This window comes from Homo sapiens, chromosome 12 (genome assembly GCF_000001405.40).
Source record: "Homo sapiens chromosome 12, GRCh38.p14 Primary Assembly".
Lineage (NCBI taxonomy): Eukaryota > Metazoa > Chordata > Mammalia > Primates > Hominidae > Homo > Homo sapiens.
The window spans coordinates 48304178-48326025 of NC_000012.12; the positions used below are offsets into that span (position 1 = coordinate 48304178).

The window sequence follows — 21848 nt, forward strand, 5'->3', positions numbered from 1 at the left end:
TTTTACATGGAAAAATGTATGGATTTTGTATTGAGTCAGTGGGATAACAACTTCAATGCTTCTCTTTTTATACTTTTGCCGAGGAATGAAATGGGAATACCAATACTTATGCTACTACCGCTGGCAATAACAACAGGCCATCTCCAATGGCGAACAGAGCATTATCTATCTTAAAAGAGAGAAAGTTAAATCTATCCACAGTGAAATATTTGAAAATATAAAAACAGAGAGAACATAATATCATAGAAAGAGCCCCACACAATTAACAGACATTAACAATGAAAGGGACAGCAGTGTGTTGGTATAAACACAACCTCATTTTCCTGAACTCCATTTCACCTTCTCATTCCTATTTCATCTCTTGGCAAAAGTATAGAAACAGAGGCATCGAAGGTGTTATCCCACATACTCAAGCACTGGTCAAGGCAATAATGATTACATCAGCACTGAGCCTTACAGATTCATTTAGTATTACAAGAAAGAACCTTGAAAACAAACCATTTCTATTGTGTTGAGCCCATGGTCTACAAACCTCTAGGCATTCATAAGCAACTCTCAATATTTCAGTGTTCTAAGAGAAATCACATAGCTACCTAAGTTTGTGCATGCTAAATAAAATCTTGTTTCTTTGTTTTTGGCTGAAATACCAACTCAGGGTGGCAACCATGGTTATCTTATGCTAACGAAAATGTCTTTGGCTAATATAATAAAAATTGTTCCACTTTGGGAGGCTGAGGCGGGTGGATCACAAGGTCAGGAGATCCAGACCATCCTGGCTAACACAGTGAAACCCCATCTCTACTAAAAAATACAAAAAACTAGCCGTGCGTGGTGGCGGGCGCCTGTAGTCCCAGCTACTGGGGAGGCTGAGGCAGGAGAATGGCATGAACCCGGGAGGCAGAGCTTGCAGTGAGCCGAGATCACGCCACTGCACTCCAGCCTGGGCAACACAGCGAGACTCCATCCGAAAAAATACATAAATACATACATAATAAATAAATAAATAAATAAATAAAATAAAAATAAAAATTGTTCAAAACATGGGACCCAACGGGGGAAAATAGTAACAGGTTAGGGGTCTTGATGGCCTAACTCCAGTAGTCCAATCTGTCCCCCATTTTGAGGACACTAAGACTTGCAGAGGTGAAATTATTTGCCCAAAACCACTACCCAAGAGAACACTCAGTTCAGCAAAGGTATTTTTAAACCATAGCACATAACATTCTATGCCTGCTTACTTTTTAGATAAAAGAAGAATGTGAAGCCAGTGGCCCGCCTGATGGTGGATAGGTGTGTTTTTCTAAACTTCAGCAGCCTTCTCTTACAATAAGTAATCTCAGTCATTATCCTCAGCCAGGTTTCCTCCTATAAGATAGAAATATTAACCCCTATCTGTTATGGTATTGATAAGAATTGCATGTTAAGTCAACCACTCCTTTAACATACTGCAGAAACTTCAGTAAATGCTACCTATTATAATTAGATATGCTAGACCAGTAGTTCTCAAAGTGTGGTCATCAGAACAGCAGCATCATCTGGAAATTTGTTAAAAATGCAAATTATTGAGCCTCACCCTGAACCTACTAAATCAGAAACTTTTCAGGTAGGGCCCAGCAATCTGTTTTTGTTTTGTTTTGTTTTGTTTTGTTTTGTTTTGTTTATTTTGAGATGGGGTCTCACTCTGTCACCCAGGCCAGAGTGCAGTGGTATGATCTCGGCTCACTGCAACCTCCACCTCCCGGCTCAAGTGATCTTCCCACCTCAGCCTCCGAGTGGCTGGGACCACGTGCCATCACAAGCAGCTAATTTTTTGTATTTTTTTGTTGTTGTAGAGATGAGGTTTCACCATGTTGCCCAGGCTGGTCTCAAACTCCTGAGCTCAAGCGATCTGCCTGCCTCAGCCTCCGAAAGTGTTGGGATTACAGGCATGAACCACCGTGCCCAGCCCAATGTGTTTTTTAAATCTTTCAGATGTTTCTGACGCACAGTCAAACTTTGAGAATTAGGTCCCACCATGACAAAACAAAACTGAAATTCCCCTGAGGATATATTTGTACTTACAAGCATTTTGTTATGTTTATCATTCGCACATTTTAAGGCATAAACTAGCAGTAATATTGGGAATTAATTTTAATAATATGGCTAGCTAAAAACTTGATGATGGGCAGGAGAATAAAGTCAAGAGAAAGCCTGAACACTCAGTGCCACTCCCTAGGCATGCCAAACAGAGAGCCTGTAGCAGGAAAGATTGTTAGAGAGGAAGCACTTGCGTGTGGATGGACAGAGGGAAAAATAATTCTTCCTTAATTATTCAGAAATCTAGGCCGGGCCTGGTGGCTCACACCTGTAATCCCAGCACTCTGGGGGGCCAAGTGGGAGGACTGCTGAGGCCAGGAATTTGAGACCACCCTGGGGCAATGAGGCAAAATCCTGGTCTCAGCAGCAAAATAAATAAATAAATACATAAAATCTATCTATCTATCTATCTATCTATCTATCTATCTATCTATCTATCATCTATCTATCTATCCAATTACCTGGAGTGTTAACAACAAAAATTCCAGATCCTTGGCCAGGCAGGTAGCTCACGTTTGTAATCACAACACTTTGGAAGGCCTAGGCAGGAGGATCACTTTCCCCCAGGAGTTCCAGAGCAGCCTGGGCAACACAGGGAGACCACATCTCTACATTAAAAAACAAACAAACAAAAAATAGCCAGCTGTAGTGGCGTGCGCCCGTAGTCCCAGCTACTGGGGTAGCTGAGGTGGAAGAATCGCCTGATCTCGGGGAGGTGAAGGCTGCTGCAGTGAGTCGTGATGGCACCACTGCACTCCAGCCTTTGGTAACGGAGCGAGAACCTGTCTCAAAATAAAATAAAAAGTCTGCATTGTATGGTGGAGAAAGGCTGTCTCTGCCTATGCCATTCCTTCTAACTAAACGTCTTGTTTCCTGTTCTCTACCCAGCCTAGCCCTTTGGTTAGCATCTCCTCCTCAACTCCAAAAGTCTCAGGCATCCATTTGGCCAGTATCTTTCAATCCTCAACCTCGCAGAAGTCATCCCCCTTGTGTTCCCTTCGCTCTGGGGCCTTATCCAAATGAGTACATTTTGCCCTTTGACAATTTGTCTTTTTTGTTATTCTGCTTCTCCTTACGGGAAAGCGCTCTTTATGGGCTGTAAAAGAAAAAAGTGCCCCTTTCAGTAACTATCCCCAGCAAGGGTCTAAGGAGCCATTTCTCTTCCACCTCCGGAAATAAGAGCGGACTGCGGTGGGGCGGAGCCAGGAGAACGGCGGCTCTCTCGGCCAACGGACTTGCTTCCCACCGCGCTGAGACTCCTGGGAGGAGAATTTCAGTTTTTTGGCTTTTGGTTTTGTTTTGTTTTGTTTTCCTTCTTGGATAGAAGTAGCACCCTAATCCCTGGGCTTCTGTGCCGTTTAGCATGTGCTTTCCTGGATCTCAAGGCCCATGGCCTACCTTTCTCTGTCCAGGCAGCTCTGGGAGAGTGGAAGAGTGGCTCATCCATCTCTGAAAAGGAGATTCCCCAGTACTGTGAGCTACCGTGTGAATTTGGGACTCCCCTGGCCTCCTGAGGGCCCCTCCAGCTCCCCTGGTGCCTTCTGCCCATGTCACTATGAAGTCTTCCTGTTATGAGCCCACACGTCTAGGGTGGGAAAGATTAAGAATTTTTGAAAATTCTTAATCTTTTAAATAATTCTTAGACTTAATTTTTGTTTTCAGAAGAACCGGGAATGGAGGTTTTCTGAAGACAAACGTTTTCCTAAAAATGGAAGAGGCAGAAAAAGGCCCATTATACCATCAGTGCAGGTAAAGTGAACAGAAGAAAGATGGAATAAGCAGAGGATGTGTTGCGTATTCCATTTTCTTTGGGAAAATTTCCGTTTCTTTTAGGAAGTGAAAAGCCCCTACTTTTTGGTGACTATTAGAGGAGCAAGCCTCCTTGGATTCTTAACTTATTTGGGGGCTCTCTCCCTTCCCTCACTTTTTTTCTCTTTCTAAAAAAGGTCTGCTTTAATTTCTTCAGAGTAGGTGATTTCATTTATAAGGCCTTAGGAATATGCACACTTTGTTTTCTTTAGTCTGTAGCAGCGGTCCCCAACCTTTTTGGCATCAGGGACCACTTTTGTGGAAGACAATTCTTCCATGGACGGGGGCGTTGGGGAGAACGGGGGTTGGGGAGATGGTTTCGGGATGAAACTCATCATCAGGCATTAGAGTCTCATAAAGAGTGGGCAGCCTAGATTCCTCACATGAGCAGTTCACGATAGGGTGCTGATCCTGTGAGAATCTAATGTCGCCACTGATCTGACAGGAGGCAGAGCTCAGGAGGTAATGCTGGCTGCCCACCACCTGGTGTGCTGCCTGGTTTCTGACAGGTACCGGTTGGTGGCCTGGAGATTGGGGACCCCTGGTCTGTAGTACTTTTTGTATTTTCTACATTCTATGCAATGCACTTATATTAATGAGTCAGAAAAGTAGGATATAACTATTATTTAAAAAGAAAAATAACTGTTGAAGTTCAGGAGCTGCAGACAGGACAGAATTAGTTTAACATATTATTTCGAAGTTTTTAGGACTAGGGATACCTTCTTCAGTTTTATCCAACTGTAGGCATTGCTGTTATTATTGGTGCATGATGAAGAGACTTGGTACTTGTGTCTTAGGGATTTTAAGGCAAATGGATCATGGAGAAAAGACCCATTTAGGTGACGGGCTTATGAAGAATGGCTATATGTAAGCAACTAGTGGACTAGGAGAAAGTAGCAACCGTATCTGAAAGTTTATAAGTGTCAACATAATAACTCAACAAAACAAACATTTTGTAATGTAAGTCACATGTAGCCTGGTCCTTGTCTTCTAGAAAGTCATATTTTAGAGTTCTAAGACATGAGATGAAGGATATTTTATCCTCTTCTGGTTAATTAAGGCCTTCAGATACTAGTCCTGAAATTCAACTTTTTTGCTAAGGTTTAAAAATACATTTTTCTCTCCAAAAGCTTCATAGAAGCCCTAGAGACTTTTTCCCCATTGGTTTTTTTTTAAATAGTTTAAAACATAATTATAAACTGTAAATTTTATTTATTCTTTTGATGGTTGAAGAAAGCAGCATATAAGACAGTGGGACAAGTATGATGAAGGCGAGTATTTCCCAAGCATCCAATAAGGGAAATTAGAAGTGAGTGGTGGAGAAAGAACATCTCAATATTTCTGAAATCTGAGAAATATGGAAGCTGATAAGTGAACAGGAATCCAGTGTTAGAGGAAAAACTTACCAAATATTTCCATATAGCAAAAATGTTGGGTTGATTTTAAGTTGGAGTTGTCCTTTGAAGTATTGGCCCATCAAAGCTGCTATTATAGCAGAGCTGTCTGGTTTTTGAGGGACAAATTGCTTCTGGTGGTGATGGAGGTGGGGGTTGAAATATGTGGGATTTGTTTCTAGGACTTGCTGTCATCCTGTGGCAATTAGTGCTAGATCAATGTTTATCTAGCACAGTGTATTAATAGAATTCTCTGTTTTAAAGAGTATAACTTCTGAACCAATTTAGGTGCTTTGTAAAGTTAGCTCTTTTATCTGTTAAGTTTTGTAGCAGGCTTGTGGTTGCAGTATTGTTACATGATTCATATTTCTAGCCTAAGTCCTTGGATCCATGAGTTTATTTATTTTGGGATTTGTAAAGAAGGCTGTGTCTCTTTTTGGCATACTTGTATATATTAGTGTGAAAAAAACATTTTTGTATACTATTTATCTGTAAAAATAATTTTAGAGGTCTTGTGTATATGGTTATATAGAATCTTTCCCCAGTAATGGAGGAGGTGGCGGGAGGTCTTTGCATGAGCTTTAGGGCTTCTAGTACATGTTACATGGTTCCATAAGACTTCACTTACAAAACACAAATTCAAAACTAAATTAAGAATTGTAAGACGGCAACTTCAGCATTAAAACCCAAGCTTGAAGCCCTGTGTAGTAACATGCCCATGAAGCCAGCCTTGCTGATTATATTAAAAGATTCTTCTCCAATGGATGAAGGATACCCATTGCTTATATATTCCTGTTGTGTGATTTGTCTTGTGCAAAATGAAAGGCTCATTCACACTGATGACATTCGAAGTGTTTCTCTTTGCTGCAACTGCTCATTGATTACCTAAGGACAGAGAAATTGTCCCGTACTCATTGGTTACATTCATAAGATGTCTAATATAAATTGTCTCATGTGCCTAACAGATGAAAGATCAATACGTGCTTTTCCACATTCATAGGGATTCTCCCCATTATATACTCTTATGTGTGGTAAATGAAGGATTATATTGGAAGGATTTTTTGTACTGATTACATTCATAGGGCTTTTCACTAGTGTGGTTTCTCATGTTTTCTAAGGGATGAAGTAATACTAAAGGCTTTCCCACCATCTTTGCATTCTATTTTGTATTCTCTTGTACACTGTAAGGGAAAAGCTGTAATCAATATGTCCCCAGTTTGAGCTCCCCAGTTTGCGCTCTCGTGTACATCAAACGTGAGTGCTTCCTGAATATTTTTCCAGTATAATCATGACAGTTACAGGGTTTTTCCCCAGTGTGAATTCTCATGAACACAATGGGAGTAGAACTTACACTGAAAACTTTTCTGTATCAATCACATTTATAGAGATTCTCCTCAGTATTCTCTTCTCTCCTCTAAGGACAGATCTAATGCTAAAGACTTGAAAATGCTGCTTACTGTCATTGTGCTTTATTCTAATGTGAATTATAATATGTATCCAAAGGGATGAGTGATAACTGAAGGCCTTCTGCAGTCCTTACATTCATAAGGTTTATCTCCATTTTGTATTCACATGTACCTCAGAAATTAAGAGTTACTACTGAAACATTTTTCATATTAGTTATATGCAGAGCAGAAAATTCACCAGTTTGAATTTTCTTGTGTTGAATAAGGTTAGACCTTGCACTGATGATATTCATTGAGTGTTTCTCTAAGATGACTTATCTCCATTTTTGCACAATTGTGTTGACTTTTACATTTTACCTAAAAATGTCCTACTTAAGATTTGACCCTTTGATTTTTAAGTAGAACATACAAATACTTGGGAAATTTCATCTTCTGTCATCAACTCATCTTCTTTCTCTAACCAAGAGATCAAACGGAGTTTGCCCATATGATGCCTAAGTGATACCACGTTGGTAGTTCTCCTGTATCTCATTCCTGTGCAGGTTTCACTGAGATGAGTCCAGTAAAGCCCTCTTCATTGAAGGTCACTGAGTCCTGTGATTAGCTTGTCAGCAGCCAGGCAGCCAACACTCCCTTTCTTGCGTTTCCTGTTTGGTGACAGGGAGGGTCCTGAGCAGACCAAATGCTAGTTAAGGGCAGATAAACAACTGCCATCCTGTGAGTTTGACTGTAAATCTTGAAATTCAGAGCAGTGGGACTCAAACATACCCTCTTTTTGTTCTCACAGTCCATTTGGGGCAAGGATCTTAGACTTTTTAGGTGGCATCTTCCCACTGAACTGTGATTTTTCAGATGAAGACAGTACTCAAAAGTTGAAATTTAGTACAATTAATAATTTTTATTGCTTCATCAAAAATATTGAAAATTAAACTTGCTTTTTTTTCTCTTCTTCCCTGTGAGTGTGTGGTGATGAAGAATACAGTGATTTATGCTAGGAGGCCAGAATTTTGCCCACTGTTGGTTTTGTGCCATCAGTGTAAATGTCAACATAGGTGGGTAATGTCTTAGAATTATTATGAAAATAGTTTTGACTTTGTGGCATTTCCTCCAAAGTGTTTGGTTTCCTGACGAGTATAAGGACAGTATTCTGAGAATCGCTGCCCTAGAGAATTGTAAGGGCTTTTCTTTTGCTTTCTAATCTTTTTCATGCAGAGAAGGCATTAAGCTTTAGTGAATTATTCAGTATCTCCTTTTTTGTGTGTGTACAATCGCTTATCCAGTTGTTGGAAATATCGTATTCAAATTACAACCCATAGAAGAGATTTTACAAGCCGTGTAGACCAATTACTAGTCATTTTTAAATGTTCCTCGTATTTCTGGCCTCAATGCAATCATTTGAATCTTATATTTATTTGTCTGCTTCCAAGTTTTTTTTTCCATATCTTTTCCCAGTTATCTTACACAGTTTGATTATGTTGTCTGACTGTGGTTTTCTTTAAGTTGATACATTTGGGTTTTGCTGTACTTCATGGATCTGTCAGTTTATGCCTTTTACCAAATTAGGGAAGTTTTCAACCATTATTTATTAAAATACATATTTTCTTCTATTCCAATGTCTTTCTCCTCTCCTTCTGGAACTTTTGTAACACAAACATGTTTTTTAAAAAATAATATCTCAGAGGTCTCTGATTCTTTTTTTTTTTTTAATTATACTTTAAGTTCTGGAGTACATGTGCAGAACGTGCAGTTTTGTTACATAGGTATACACGTGCTATGGTGGTTTGCTGCACCCATCAACTCGTGACCTACATTAGGTATTTCTCCTAATATTATCCCTCCTCTAATCCCCAGTCCCCCGACAGGCCCCGGTATGTGATGTTCCCCTCTCTATGTCCACGTGTTCTCATTGTTCAACTCCCAGTTATGAGTGAGAACATGCGGTGTTTGGTTTTCTGTTCTTGTGATAGTTTGCTGAGAATGATGGTTTCCAGCTTCATCCATGTCCCTGCAAAGGACACGAACTCATCCTTTTTATGGCTGCATAGTATTCCATGGTATTATGTGCCATATTTTCTTTATCCAGTCTATTACTGATGGACATTTGGGTTGGTTCCAAGTCTTTGCTATTGTGAGTAGTGCTGCAATAAACATATGTGTGCATGTGTCTTTATAGTAGAATGATTTATAATCCTTTGGGTACATACCCAGTAATGGGATTGCTGGGTCAAATCTGATTCTAAAAGAATTATTTTTTTCACTTTTTTCTTCTGTTACTTATTTTTTAATTTTCTAATTTTTTGAGACAGGGTCTTGCTCTGTCTCCCAGGCTGGAGTGCAGTAGTTCGATCTCAGCTCTTGGCTCACTGCAATCTCCACCTCCCGGGTTCAAGTGATTCTCCTGCCTCAGCCTCCCAAGTAGCTGGGACTACAGGTGCGTGCCACCATGCCTGGCCAGTTTTTGTATTTTTAGTAGAGATGGGGTTTCACTGTGTTGGCCAGGCTGGTCTTGAATGCCTGACCTAAAGTGATCTGCCCACCTTGGCCTCCCAGAGTGCTGGGATTACAGGCGTGAGCCACAGTGCCTGGCCTTTCTTCTGTTTTTCAGATTGGATACTTTCTATCTCCAAGTTCAGCAACTCTTTCTTCTGTCATCTCTATTCTGCTATGAGCCCCTAAAGTGATTTTACTATTTCTGTTACTGAAATTTCCAATTATGAAATTTATTTGGATCTCTTGTTATTTATTTATTTATTTTTTGAGACAGAGTCTCACTTTGTCACCAGGCTGGAGTGTAGTGGCGCTATCTCGGCTCACTGCAACCTCTGCCTCCTGGGTTCAAGCGATTCCCCTGCCTCAGCCTCCTGAGTAGCTGGGACTACAGGCCTGCGCCACCACAGCTGGCTAATTTTTTGTGTCTTAGTAGAGACGGGGTTTCACCATGTTGGCCAGGATGGTCTCGATCTCCTGGCCTTGTGATCCGCCCGCCTCAGCCTCCCAAAGTCCTGGGATTACAGGCGTGAGCCACCGCGCCCAGCCCTGATTCTCATCAATCTTAGCACGTACAACTAGGGGTGAGATAAGGACCTCCATACACAAACTTTAATGTGCCCTTTCTCCAGCCCCCTCATTTTCTTGGTTGTCTACTCACTCTTTGGTTCCTGGGGTTCCCCACTCCTGGGTTTCTGACCAGAGCATTAGCTTCCCTGCGCTGTTGACAGGGTTCTCTGCCGGATCTGCCACTGCCACACTTGCCTGTCCTAGGGTAGGAGGCAACAGGCTTTGCCTCTCAGGGGCCATCTCATTGCTGGTGAGGAGAGGGAGGGCACAGATTAGTTGCTTGTACTTCTATAAGCAGGGAGAGTCTATAGGGCTTTTACCCACATGTTGACCACCAGTTGGCTGGTGGGAAGGGGAAGGTGTGCTGGTTGTTTGCTGGCAATCCCCTGGAGTAGGATAAAATAAAAGATTCCATCCCTCCCCCCGTCACCATCCCAGTTTTCCATTCTTAAAACTAGAGGAGTCGATTTTTCTTGGGACTTTTTCTTTCTAGGCCCATTGACAACCATCGGCAGTTCTGGTTTTTAGGTTTTCAGGTTGCACTGCTGCCCAGGCTGGGATATGTGAGGCAAAACAAACCCTGGGGAACTTGCTGCTCCATTTTCCTTATGTCCTGAAATCCTTATCCAGTCATCTTGCTTTTATCTGCCTTTCAGAGTCTTCTGGTAGTTGTTCTATGTGTTTTAGTTATAGGTTTTTAGTTGTAGTTAATGGGAGAGGTGGGAGGTGATTAATCCGTCTTATCTGAAAATGGAAGTCTCATCTGTCTATCTTTTTATTGAAACATGGTCTTCGTCACTACACTAGGCAAAAATTATTGCTTATTTTGTATGTTAATTATAGCTGAAGAATGAGATTGTTTTTCATATATTAACCATAGTTTTCATTTATCCACTGGTTAATTTTGAGATTTACTCTTAATTTTGGGATTAATGCTTAGACTTCTTTTTGGGAGAATATTCTCTAGTTTGCCTTTGTACACTTGTTTTAAAATTTTTTAATGTACAAATTTTAAGATTTTTATATAATCTTCTATCAGTAATTTCCACTGTTATTTTTTCCATTACTTTTAAGCTTAGAAAATCCTTCTTCTGCCTGAAGTCAAATAAATATTCATACAAACTTTTCTCTGCTTTCATTTTCTATGTTTAAGTCTTTGATCCATCTTAAATTTATTGATGTGTGGTGAAACATGAGTATTTACTTTAAAATTTTTCAAGTTGTAAGCTATCAGATCTTATATATTTCTTATTAAAAATTATTCTTTTTTTTTTTGTGACAGAGTCTCACTCTGTCAGCAGGCTGGAGTGTAGTGGCACGATCTCGGCTCACTGCAAGCTCTGCCTCCCAGGTTCACACCATTCTCCTGCCTCAGCCTCCCAAGTAACTGGGACTACAGGCGCGTACCACCATGCCCGGCTAATTTTGTTTCTATTTTTAGTAGAGATGGGGTTTCACCGTGTTAGCCAGGATGGTCTCTATCTCCTGACCTCATGATCCGCCTGCCTCAGCCTCCCAAAATGCTGGGATTACAGGCGTGAGCCACCACGCCCGGCAAAAGTTATTCTTAACATGTTAAAAGTTCTAATGACAAACAGATAAAAGCTCCATGGTCTTTTTTAAAAATATAAAATGGTTTTAAAGACTGGGCTTCAATTTAAAGATGTACATTTGCTTTTCAGATTGAATTTAATAAACAGCCCACTTCTGCAACAAGAGGGCTACTTTTTTGCCTTTATTTTTATTTTTAATAATTCTATTTATGAGGTATGATATGATATTTTGATACATGTATATAATGTGTGATGATCAAATCAGGGTAATAGGGTTACTTTTTCAGTCTGGTCCTCAGGAGACAGAAACCACACAGTAGGTTAAATAGGGAAAGGTAATATAAAGAATTTTTAAGCAATGATAGAAGAGTAACAAGCAAGAACAAAGTTGGGATGGGAGTTTAGACCTTGTTGAAGAATATATAGTTGCAGCCCACTGGATGGAGGAGAGGTTTGCTGGTTTGCCCAGGCTACAGCTGATCCCTATTCACTGGGCAGGCAGGAATAACCTCCTGGGGTACTGACAAAACAGGCTGATAAGTAGGCCTGGAGAGAGTGTCAGATGTGCTACTTTAGGCATTCCTGGAACCAGGAGCTCGAGAGACCACCCTTTTCGGGAATCTAGTGTACGTTTGTATACGACTTGGACCAGGATGTCTAAGAGCAGCTATGTGGAACAAAGGCAGGGCAGCAGGCCCTGTAATGACCCTGGTTGGTGTGTACTCAAAACTGGGGAAAGGGTGTGGGAAACAGCAACCTGGGCTGGAGAGGCATTTGCTGGGAGTGGAGGGGGAAATAGAGGCAGGATGTTCTGTCTTGTTCTCTATAGCTCAAAATACTAGACCACTTGAGGGATTCCCTCAAGCCATACAAAAACAGGCAGCAGGCTGGATTTAGCCTATAGGCCACAGTTTTCCACACTCTGTTCTAGGAACCTGGTGATGGAGAGACCGGAGAGAACTAGCGAGGAAAACCCCTTCTTCCTGCAGCATCTCTACAATGGGCTTTACTGACAAGTTTTAACAGCTTGCCAGCTAGGAAATGTAAAATATTTAAAAGGCCCAGATCTGTTTTCACGTATCAGGCAACAAAGGGTGAATTTGATGCTGAGAGACAATACGTTGGAAACTGGCATAGCTGGTGTGGTAGAAATTATGGTAGGGGAAGGATGGTTGCTTGAGCAAAGCTTTGATTAATGAGAAGTTGTGAGAAAAGAGCTGATATGGCAACTTTTCTTTTCTGGATGGAAGATAGAAAAGGAGTGTCCTTGTTGGGTTTACCTATGAGGTATGAGAATGATCATTCTGAACTTTTCCCTAGGTGAGGTGTTCATGTTCTCTTCTGTAAAATGTGAATAACACTATTCACCTGCCAGTGGTGTTGAAAGAAGTAGTGATAATTTAAACACAATGCCTGATGAATAGGCCTTCAGTAAATGGTAGCTATTCTTTTTTTTTTTTTTTTTTTTTTTTTTTTGAGACGGAGTCTCGCTCTGTCGCCCAGGCTGGAGTGCAGTGGCGGGATCTCGGCTCACTGCAAGCTCCGCCTCCCGGGTTCACGCCATTCTCCTGCCTCAGCCTCCCAAGTAGCTGGGACTACAGGCGCCCGCCACTACGCCCGGCTAATTTTTTGTATTTTTAGTAGAGACGGGGTTTCACCGTTTTAGCCGGGATGGTCTCGATCTCCTGACCTCGTGATCCGCCCGCCTCGGCCTCCCAAAGTGTTGGGATTACAGGCGTGAGCCACCGCGCCCGGCCAGCTATTCTTCCCTATATGGATCAAAAGCTGAGAAAAAGCCATAGAAGCCGGAGCTGGGTTAAAACAGAAAATCAGTGTGATTTCCCTAGGAAATGGAGAATTTAGTGTCTTTTGAATGGAAATATTTAGAATTGGAATTTTGAAGGAAAAATGGAGGAAATTATGTTATTATGCAGTGTAATTATGGAATGTATTGTGAACTGGGAATGAAAATAAGGTTTGCTATTGGTTATATTCTTTAGCATGGACATGTATTTTCATGGTTACTTAATTTGGTGGAGAACAAATTTTAATTAATGAATTTGGATTTTGTGAACTTTCAGGTTTTTAGAGATTGGATAGAAATAAGGTTCTCTGAGGTGGGGATGTAGTACCATACAACATAAAATTAGGCATGTAGGTCTGAGATGTTTTAGTTCTCAGACTATAACAGCAGTTGCTTATATATATGGTAAATGATTTTCTGTGTTTCTGCTTTGGCTTCATTTGTGCAGTATTCTGGGATTCTGACAAGGGTGGATGTCTGGGGATTACTATAACAGAATTGAATGATGCCTAGAATGTAGTATTATTGTGAGGCTGCAGCTTGACTGTGCCTTGGGATGCCTCAAACCTCATATTGAAAGTATGAATCCTCAGAGAAATGGGTTTTCAGTTTGAGATTAACTGATCATAGTAGAATGGTTCTTAGAGACCTCATATTGTGGGCTCGTGCAAAGACCTAACTATTAGTAATGCTTGGATGAGGGGCTTAATTTATGTAGCACACTTGTGTTTGGGTAAGAAAAAGAACTTGGGTAGGAATTTGATAACACTAAAAGCCAACACTTCTCCCTTGCTGTCATTTGGGGGTTGGGGTACAGGTATAGATTTTATGTATGTTTATGTTATGTGGGGTATTTAGAGATCCTTAGTATTCTTCAATGGAAAGGGCCAGGGAGACCAGATCTTCATATTTTCAGGCTACTTGCTGAGAGATTTTCCTGCTCCTCTAGTGAGATCCCTTGGGTCTAGGCTCCCCAGACTCACTTCCAAACAATTGTGCTGAGGATTAAAAGGATGAATGCACAATTGCCAAACTATCCCCATGCTTTTAAGAAACATTGTTATTTTATTTTTGCATTCCTTTTTATAAGCCACGTTAGTCTTCTCCAAAGCTATGACTGGGACTGGTGGGATCATTTGTTCAAATGACTGTTGTTGGGGTCATTTGTATTAAAGTAGAAGCCACATAGTAGTGCAGGGGGAAGACAGGGTCTTAGAATATAAAACAAGATGAGTCAGAAAATGACTTTTGGAAAAAAAAGTAGTAGCAGGTTCAGGTCAATGGGGGAGTCTTAGTACACTGCTGAACAGGTTTCTGTCATTCATCTTGGGGTGAGATAAATTAAATAAATGCAAGATAATTGAGTCAGAAAGATGCAGGACCTTGGAATCCCAGGCCTGTGGATCCAGGGAGGGACAGTGAGATAGAATGAGGTTAGATCAGTATACTGCTGAATTCTGCTGTGCTCTGGCATGGAGTTATCCTTGGTGAAATTAAATCAGTATAACTCCGTATGAGTGAGTGAGATTAATGAAACCTCTGTCTGATGTTCTTGGGATTTAGCATTTAAAGGTTGCTCACTCTTTAAATCAACCAAGTTCCTCTAGAGACCTCCAAGAACAAAAACTATCTTGCTCTGGAATTCAAAGCAGAAGGATATAGGTTAGACATCATTCCCAAGTGTCCTTCCTCCCTACAACCCTCTCACCCCTGACCCACAAAACTTCATGAAATTAAGAGCTATTGCTCTTTCTCACAAAAGGTTGGTGCTGTCCTCTTTAAGTGATAACTTCTGATTTATAATCATAGACCATTAAAATTCAAAGAGATACTTCAGGCTTGTCTTTGTGGAGCTGGAGTTGGTATCTCTGGTTTAGTGGTGTGGTGCTAGTTTTTACTGACTTTTTTCCTAAAGAAATCACTTTTCTGAAGTATCTTTTCCTTTTGGGATGTCAGAAGAAGAGAGCTGGCAGTAGATTTCTTCCAAAGAGGAAGGAAAGAACTCTTAAGGGATTGGTGATTTGGAAAATATCTGTCAGCTAGCTTTCTTGACCTCTGAGCCAGCTGAGTGGCAAGTGGGGCATTTGTTTCCTGCTCTTATTAAAAAAAAGTATTCATCTACTACTTACAGCATATTTATACAGAGATCTATAAAAAAATGAATGGTTATATAGATAAATGAAAATGTTTGCTTTTTTGCTGTTGATGTTTTTGATTTTTTTTCTTTTTCTTTCTTTTATTTTATACTTTAAGTTTAGGATACATGTGCACAATGTGCAGGTTAGTTACATATGTATACATGTGAAATGCTGGTGCGCTGCACCCACTAACTCGTCATCTAGCATTAGGTATATCTCCCAATGCTATCCCTCCCCCCTCCCCCCACCCCACCACAGTCCCCAGAGCGTGATATTCCCCTTCCTGTGTCCATGTGATCTCATTGTTCAATTCCCACCTATGAGTGAGAATATGTGGTGTTTGGTTTTTTGTTCTTGTGATAGTTTACTGAGAATGATGATTTCCAATTTCATCCATGAGACTAAAATTCCTAAGACAGTAATCCCAGCTACTTGGGAGGCTGAGGCAGGGGAATCGTTTGAAGCTGGGAGGCGGAGGTTGCAGTGAATCGAGACCGTGCCACAGCACTCCAGCCTGGGCGACCAAAAGAGGCTGTCTTAAAAGAAAAAAAAAATCCTAAGAGAGTAAATGATCTGACATTGACCATGTGCCCATTTCTGGACCAGTCACTGTGCCAGGAAGAATGAGTGAATAATGACAGGGGTTGGGGGTGGGGAGGTGAGGGTGGAGAGGATTTGGGGATTCCATGATTAACAGTGTCTCTTGGAAGCATATTGAACCATGGAGTTCAGTTATTAGAGGAATGGTAGAGATAAGCTGAGCAGACAATAACAATTGTCTCCCCCCACCCCACAACAGTCCCCAGAGAGTGATGTTCCCCTTCCTGTGTCCATGTGTTCTCATTGTTCAATTCCCACCTATGAGTGAGAATATGTGGTGTTTGGTTTTTTGTTCTTGTGATAGTTTACTGAGAATGATGATTTCCAATTTCATCCATGTCCCTACAAAGGACATGAACTCATCATTTTTTATGGCTGCATAGTATTCCATGGTGTATATGTGCCACATTTTCTTAATCCAGTCTATCATTGTTGGACATTTGGGTTGGTTCCAAGTCTTTGCTATTGTGAATAGTGCCGCAATAAACATACGTGTGCGTGTGTCTTTATAGCAGCATGATTTATAGTCCTTTGGGTATATACCCAGTAATGGGATGGCTGGGTCAAATGGTATTTCTAGTTCTAGATCCCTGAGGAATCGCCACACTGTCTTCCACAATGGATGAATTAGTTTACAGTCCCACCAACAGTGCAAAAGTGTTCCTATTTCTCCACATCCTCTCCAGCACCTGTTGTTTCCTGACTTTTTAATGATTGCCATTCTAACTGGTGTGAGATGATATCTCATTGTGGTTTTGATTTGCATTTCTCTGATGGCCAGTGATAGTGAGCATTTTTTCATGTGTTTTTTGGCTGCATAAATGTCTTCTTTTGAGAAGTGTCTGTTCATGTCCTTCACCCACTTTTTGATGGGGTTGTTTGTTTTTTTCTTGTAAATTTGTTTGAGTTCATTGTAGATTCTGGATATTAGCCCTTTGTCAGATGAGTAGGTTGCGAAAATTTTCTCCCATTTTGTGGGTTGCCTGTTCACTCTGATGGTAGTTTCTTTTGCTGTGCAGAAGCTCTTTAGTTTAATTAGATCCCATTTGTCAATTTTGGCTTTTGTTGCTATTGCTTTTGGTGTTTTAGACATGAAGTCCTTGCCCATGCCTATGTCCTGAATGGTAATGCCTAGGTTTTCTTCTAGGGTTTTTATGGTTTTAGGTCTAATGTTTAAGTCTTTAATCCATCTTGAATTGATTTTTGTATAAGGCATAAGGAAGGGATCCAGTTTCAGCTTTCTACATATGGCTAGCCAGTTTTCCCAGCACCATTTATTAAATAGGGAATCCTTTCCCCATTGCTTGTTTTTCTCAGGTTTGTCAAAGATCAGATAGTTGTAGATAAGAGGCGTTATTTCTGAGGGCTCTGTTCTGTTCCATTGATCTATATCTCTGTTTTGGTACCAGTACCATGCTGTTTTGGTGACTGTAGCCTTGTAGTATAGTTTGAAGTCAGGTAGTGTGATGCCTCCAGCTTTGTTCGTTTGGCTTAGGATTGACTTGGCGATGCGGGCTCTTTTTTGGTTCCATATGAACTTTAAAGTAGTTTTTTCCAATTCTGTGAAGAAAGTCATTGGTAGCTTGATGGGGATGGCATTGAATCTATAAATTACCTTGGGCAGTATGGCCATTTTCACGATATTGATTCTTCCTAGCCATGAGCATGGAATATTCTTCCATTTGTTTGTATCCTCTTTTATTTCATAGAGCAGTGGTTTGTAGTTCTCCTTGAAGAGGTCCTTCACGTCCCTTGTAAGTTGGATTCCTAGGTATTTTATTCTCTTTGAAGCAATTGTGAATGGGAGTTCACTCATGATTTGGCTCTCTGTTTGTCTGTTATTGGTGTATAAGAATGCTTGTGATTTTTGTACATTGATTTTGTATCCTGAGACTTTGCTGAAGTTGCTTACCAGCTTAAGGAGATTTTGGGCTGAGACAATGGGGTTTTCTAGATATACAAACATGTCGTCTGCAAAGAGGGACAATTTGACTTCCTCTTTTCCTAATTGAATACCCTTTATTTCCTTCTCCTGCCTAATTGCCCTGGCCAGAACTTCCAACACTATGTTGAATAGGAGTGGTGAGAGAGGGCATCCCTGTCTTGTGCCAGTTTTCAAAGGGAATGCTTCCAGTCTTTGCCCATTCAGTATGATATTGGCTGTGGGTTTGTCATAGATAGCTCTTATTATTTTGAGATATGTCCCATCAATACCTAATTTATTCAGAGTTTTTAGCATGAAGGGTTGGTGAATTTTGTCAAAGGCCTTTTCTGCATCTATTGAGATAATCATGTGGTTTTTGTCTTTGGTTCTGTTTATGTGCTGGATTACATTTATTGATTTGCGTATATTGAACTAGCCTTGCATCCCAGGGATGAAGCCCACTTGATCATGGTGGATAAGCTTTTTGATGTGCTGCTGGATTCTGTTTGCCAGTATTTTATTGAGGATTTTTGCATCAATGTTCATCAAGGATATTGGTCTAAAATTGTCTTTTTCGGTTGTGTCTCTGCCCGGCTTTGGTATCAGGATGATGCTGGCCTCATAAAATGAGTTAGGGAGGATTCCCTCTTTTTCTGTTGATTGGAATAGTTTCAGAAGGAATGGTACCAGTTACTCCTTATACCTCTGGTAGAATTCGGCTGTGAATCCATCTGGTCCTGGACTCTTTTTGGTTGGTAAGCTATTGATAATTGCCAAATTTCAGCTCCTGTTATTGGTCTATTCAGAGATTCAACTTCTTCCTGGTTTAGTCTTGGGAGGGTGTATTTGTCGAGGAATTTATCCATTTCTTCTAGATTTTCTAGTTTATTTGCGTAGAGGTGTTTGTAGTATTCTCTGATGGTAGTTTGTGTTTCTGTGGGATCAGTGGTGATATCCCCTTTATCATTTTTTATTGCATCTACTTGATTCTTCTCTCTTTTTTTCTTTATTAGTCTTGCTAGCGGTCTATCAATTTTGTTGATCCTTTCAAAAAACCAGCTCTTGGATTCATTAATTTTTTGAAGGGGTTTTGTGTCTCTATTTCCTTCAGTTCTGCTCTGATTTTAGTTATTTCTTGCCTTCTGCTAGCTTTTGAATGTGTTTGCTCTTGCTTTTCTAGTTCTTTTAATTGTGATGTTAGGGTGTCAATTTTGGATCTTTCCTGCTTTCTCTTGTGGGCATTTAGTGCTATAAATTTCCCTCTACACACTGCTTTGAATGTGTCCCAGAGATTCTGGTATGTTGTGTCTTTGTTCTTGTTGGTTTCAAAGAACATCTTTATTTCTGCCTTCATTTCGTTATGTACCCAGTAGTCATTCAGGAGCAGGTTGTTCAGTTTCCATGTAGTTGAGCAGTTTTTGAGTGAGTTTCTTAATCCTGAGTTCTACTTTGATTGCACTGTGGTCTGAGAGATAGTTTGTTATAATTTCTGTTCTTTTACATTTGCTGAGGAGAGCTTTACTTCCAACTATGTGGTCAATTTTGGAATAGGTGTGGTGTGGTGCTGAAAAAAATGTATATTGTGTTGATTTGGGGTGGAGAGTTCTGTAGATGTCTATTAGGTCCGCTTGATGCAGAGCTGAGTTCAATTCCTGAGTATCCTTGTTAACTTTCTGTGTCGTTGATCTGTCTAATGTTGACAGTGGGGTGTTAAAGTGTCCCATTATTAATGTGTGGGAGTCTAAGTCTCTTTGTAGGTCACTCAGGACTTGCTTTATGAATCTGGGTGCTCCTGTATTGGGTGCATATATATTTAGAATAGTTAGCTCTTCTCGTTGAATTGATCCCTTTACCATTATGTAATGGCCTTCTTTGTGTCTTTTGATTTTTGTTGGTTTAAAGTCTGTTTTATCAGAGACTAGGATTGCAACCCCTGCCTTTTTTTGTTTTCCATTTGCTTGGTAGATCTTCCTCCACCCTTTTATTTTGAACCTATGTGTGTCTCTGCATGTGAGATGGGTTTCCTGAATACAACACACTGATGGGTCTTGACTCTTTCTCCAATTTGCCAGTCTGTGTCTTTTAATTGGAGCATTTACTCCATTTACATTTAAAGTTAATATTGTTATGTGTGAATTTGAACCTGTCATTATGATGTTAGCTGGTTATTTTGCTCGTTAGTTGATGCAGTTTCTTCCTAGTCTCGATGGTCTTTACATTTTGGCATGATTTTGCAGCGGCTGGTACTGGTTGTTCCTTTCCATGTTTAGTGCTTCCTTCAGGAGCTCTTTTAGGGCAGGCCTGGTGGTGACAAAATCTCTCAACATTTGCTTGTCTGTAAAGTATTTTATTTCTCCTTCACTTATGAAGCTTAGTTTGGCTGGATATGAAATTCTAGGTTGAAAATTTTTTTCTTTAAGAATGTTGAATATTGGCCCCCACTCTCTTCTGGCTTGTAGAGTTTCTGCTGAGAGATCAGATGTTAGTCTGATGGGCTTCCCTTTGTGGGTAACCCGACCTTTCTCTCTGGCTGCCCTTAACATTTTTTCCTTCATTTCAACTTTGGTGAATCTGACAATTATGTGTCTTGGAGTTGCTCTTCTCGAGGAGTATCTTTATGGCGTTCTCTGTATTTCCTGAATCTGAATGTTGGCCTGCCTTGCTAGATTGGGGAAGTTCTCCTGGATAATATCCTGCAGAGTGTTTTCCAACTTGGTTCCATTCCCCCATCACTTTCAGGTACACCAATCAGAAGTAGATTTGGTCTTTTCACATAGTCCCATATTTCTTGGAGGCTTTGTTCGTTTCTTTTTATTCTTTTTTCTCTAAACTTCCCTTCTCGCTTCATTTCATTCATTTCATCTTCCATCGCTGATACCCTTTCTTCCAATTGATCGCATCGGCTCCTGAGTCTTCTGCATTCTTCCCGTAGTTCTCCAGCCTTGGCCCTCAGCTCCATCAGCTCCTTTAGGCACTTCTCTCTATTGGGTATTCTAGTTATACATTCATCTAAATTTTTTTCAAAGCTTTTAACTTCTTTGCCTTTGGTTTGAATTTCCTCCTGTAGCTCATAGTTCGATCGTCTGCAGCCTTCTCTCAACTCGTCAAAGTCATTCTCCGTCCAGCTTTGTTCCATTGCTGGTGAGGAACTGCGTTCCTTTGGAGGAGGAGAGGTTCTCTGCTTTTTAGAGTTTCCAGTTTTTCTGCTCTGTTTTTTCCCCATCTTTGTGGTTTTATCTACTTTTGGTCTTTGATGATGGTGATGTACAGATGCGTTTTTGGTGTGGATATCCTTTCTGTTTGTTAGTTTTCCTTCTAACGGACAGGACCCTCAGCTGCAGGTCTGTTGGAGTTTGCTAAAGGTCCACTCCAGACCCTGTTTGCCTGGGTATCAGCAGCGGCGTCTGCAGAACAGTGGTTTTTCGTGAACGGTGAATGCTGCTGTCTGATTGTTCCTCTGGAAGTTTTGTCTCAGAGGAGTACCCGGCCGTGTGAGGTGTCAGTTTGCCCCTACTTGGGGGTGCCTCCCAGTTAGGCTGCTCAGGGGTCAGGGGTCAGGGAAGCACTTGAGGAGGCTGTCTGCCCGTTCTCAGATCTCCAGCTGCGTGCTGGGAGAACCACTGCTCTCTTCAAAGCTGTCAGACAGGGACATTTAAGTCTGCAGAGGTTACTGCTGTCTTTTTGTTTGTCTGTGCCCTGCCCCCAGAGGTGGAGCCTACAGAGGCAGACAGGCAGGCCTCCTTGAGCTGTGGTGGGCTCCACCCAGTTCGAGCTTCCCGGCTGCATTGTTTACCTATGCAAGCCTGGGCAATGGGGGGTGCCCCTCCCCCAGCCTTGCTGCCGCCTTGCAGTTTGATCTCAGACTGCTGTGCTAGCAATCGGCGAGACTCCGTGGACGTAGGACCCTCTGAGCCAGGTGTAGGATATAATCTCCTGGTGTGCCGGTTTTTAACCCTGTCAGAAAAGCACAGTATTCGGGTGGGAGTGACCTGATTTTCTAGGTGCCGTCTGTCTCCCCTTTCTTTGACTAGGAAAGGGAACTCCCTGACCCCTTGCGCTTCCGGAGTGAGGCAATGCCTCGCCCTGC

At 41.1% G+C, this 21848-nt stretch overlaps 1 long non-coding RNA gene across 1 annotated transcript in view; it reads right to left on the bottom strand.

Annotated features, from left to right (window-relative positions):
• The window catches only part of LOC105369753 (uncharacterized), a 28424-nt gene extending 25172 nt beyond the window's left edge, over positions 1–3252 (bottom strand). The window contains exons 1-3 of the long non-coding RNA XR_944923.3: positions 3153–3252; positions 2538–2684; positions 1239–1365 (exon numbers count right to left, since the gene is read on the bottom strand). This is a non-coding gene — a long non-coding RNA (uncharacterized LOC105369753). The remainder of the gene's footprint in view (positions 1–1238; positions 1366–2537; positions 2685–3152) is intronic.
• Between the last annotated feature and the right edge of the window lie 18596 nt (positions 3253–21848).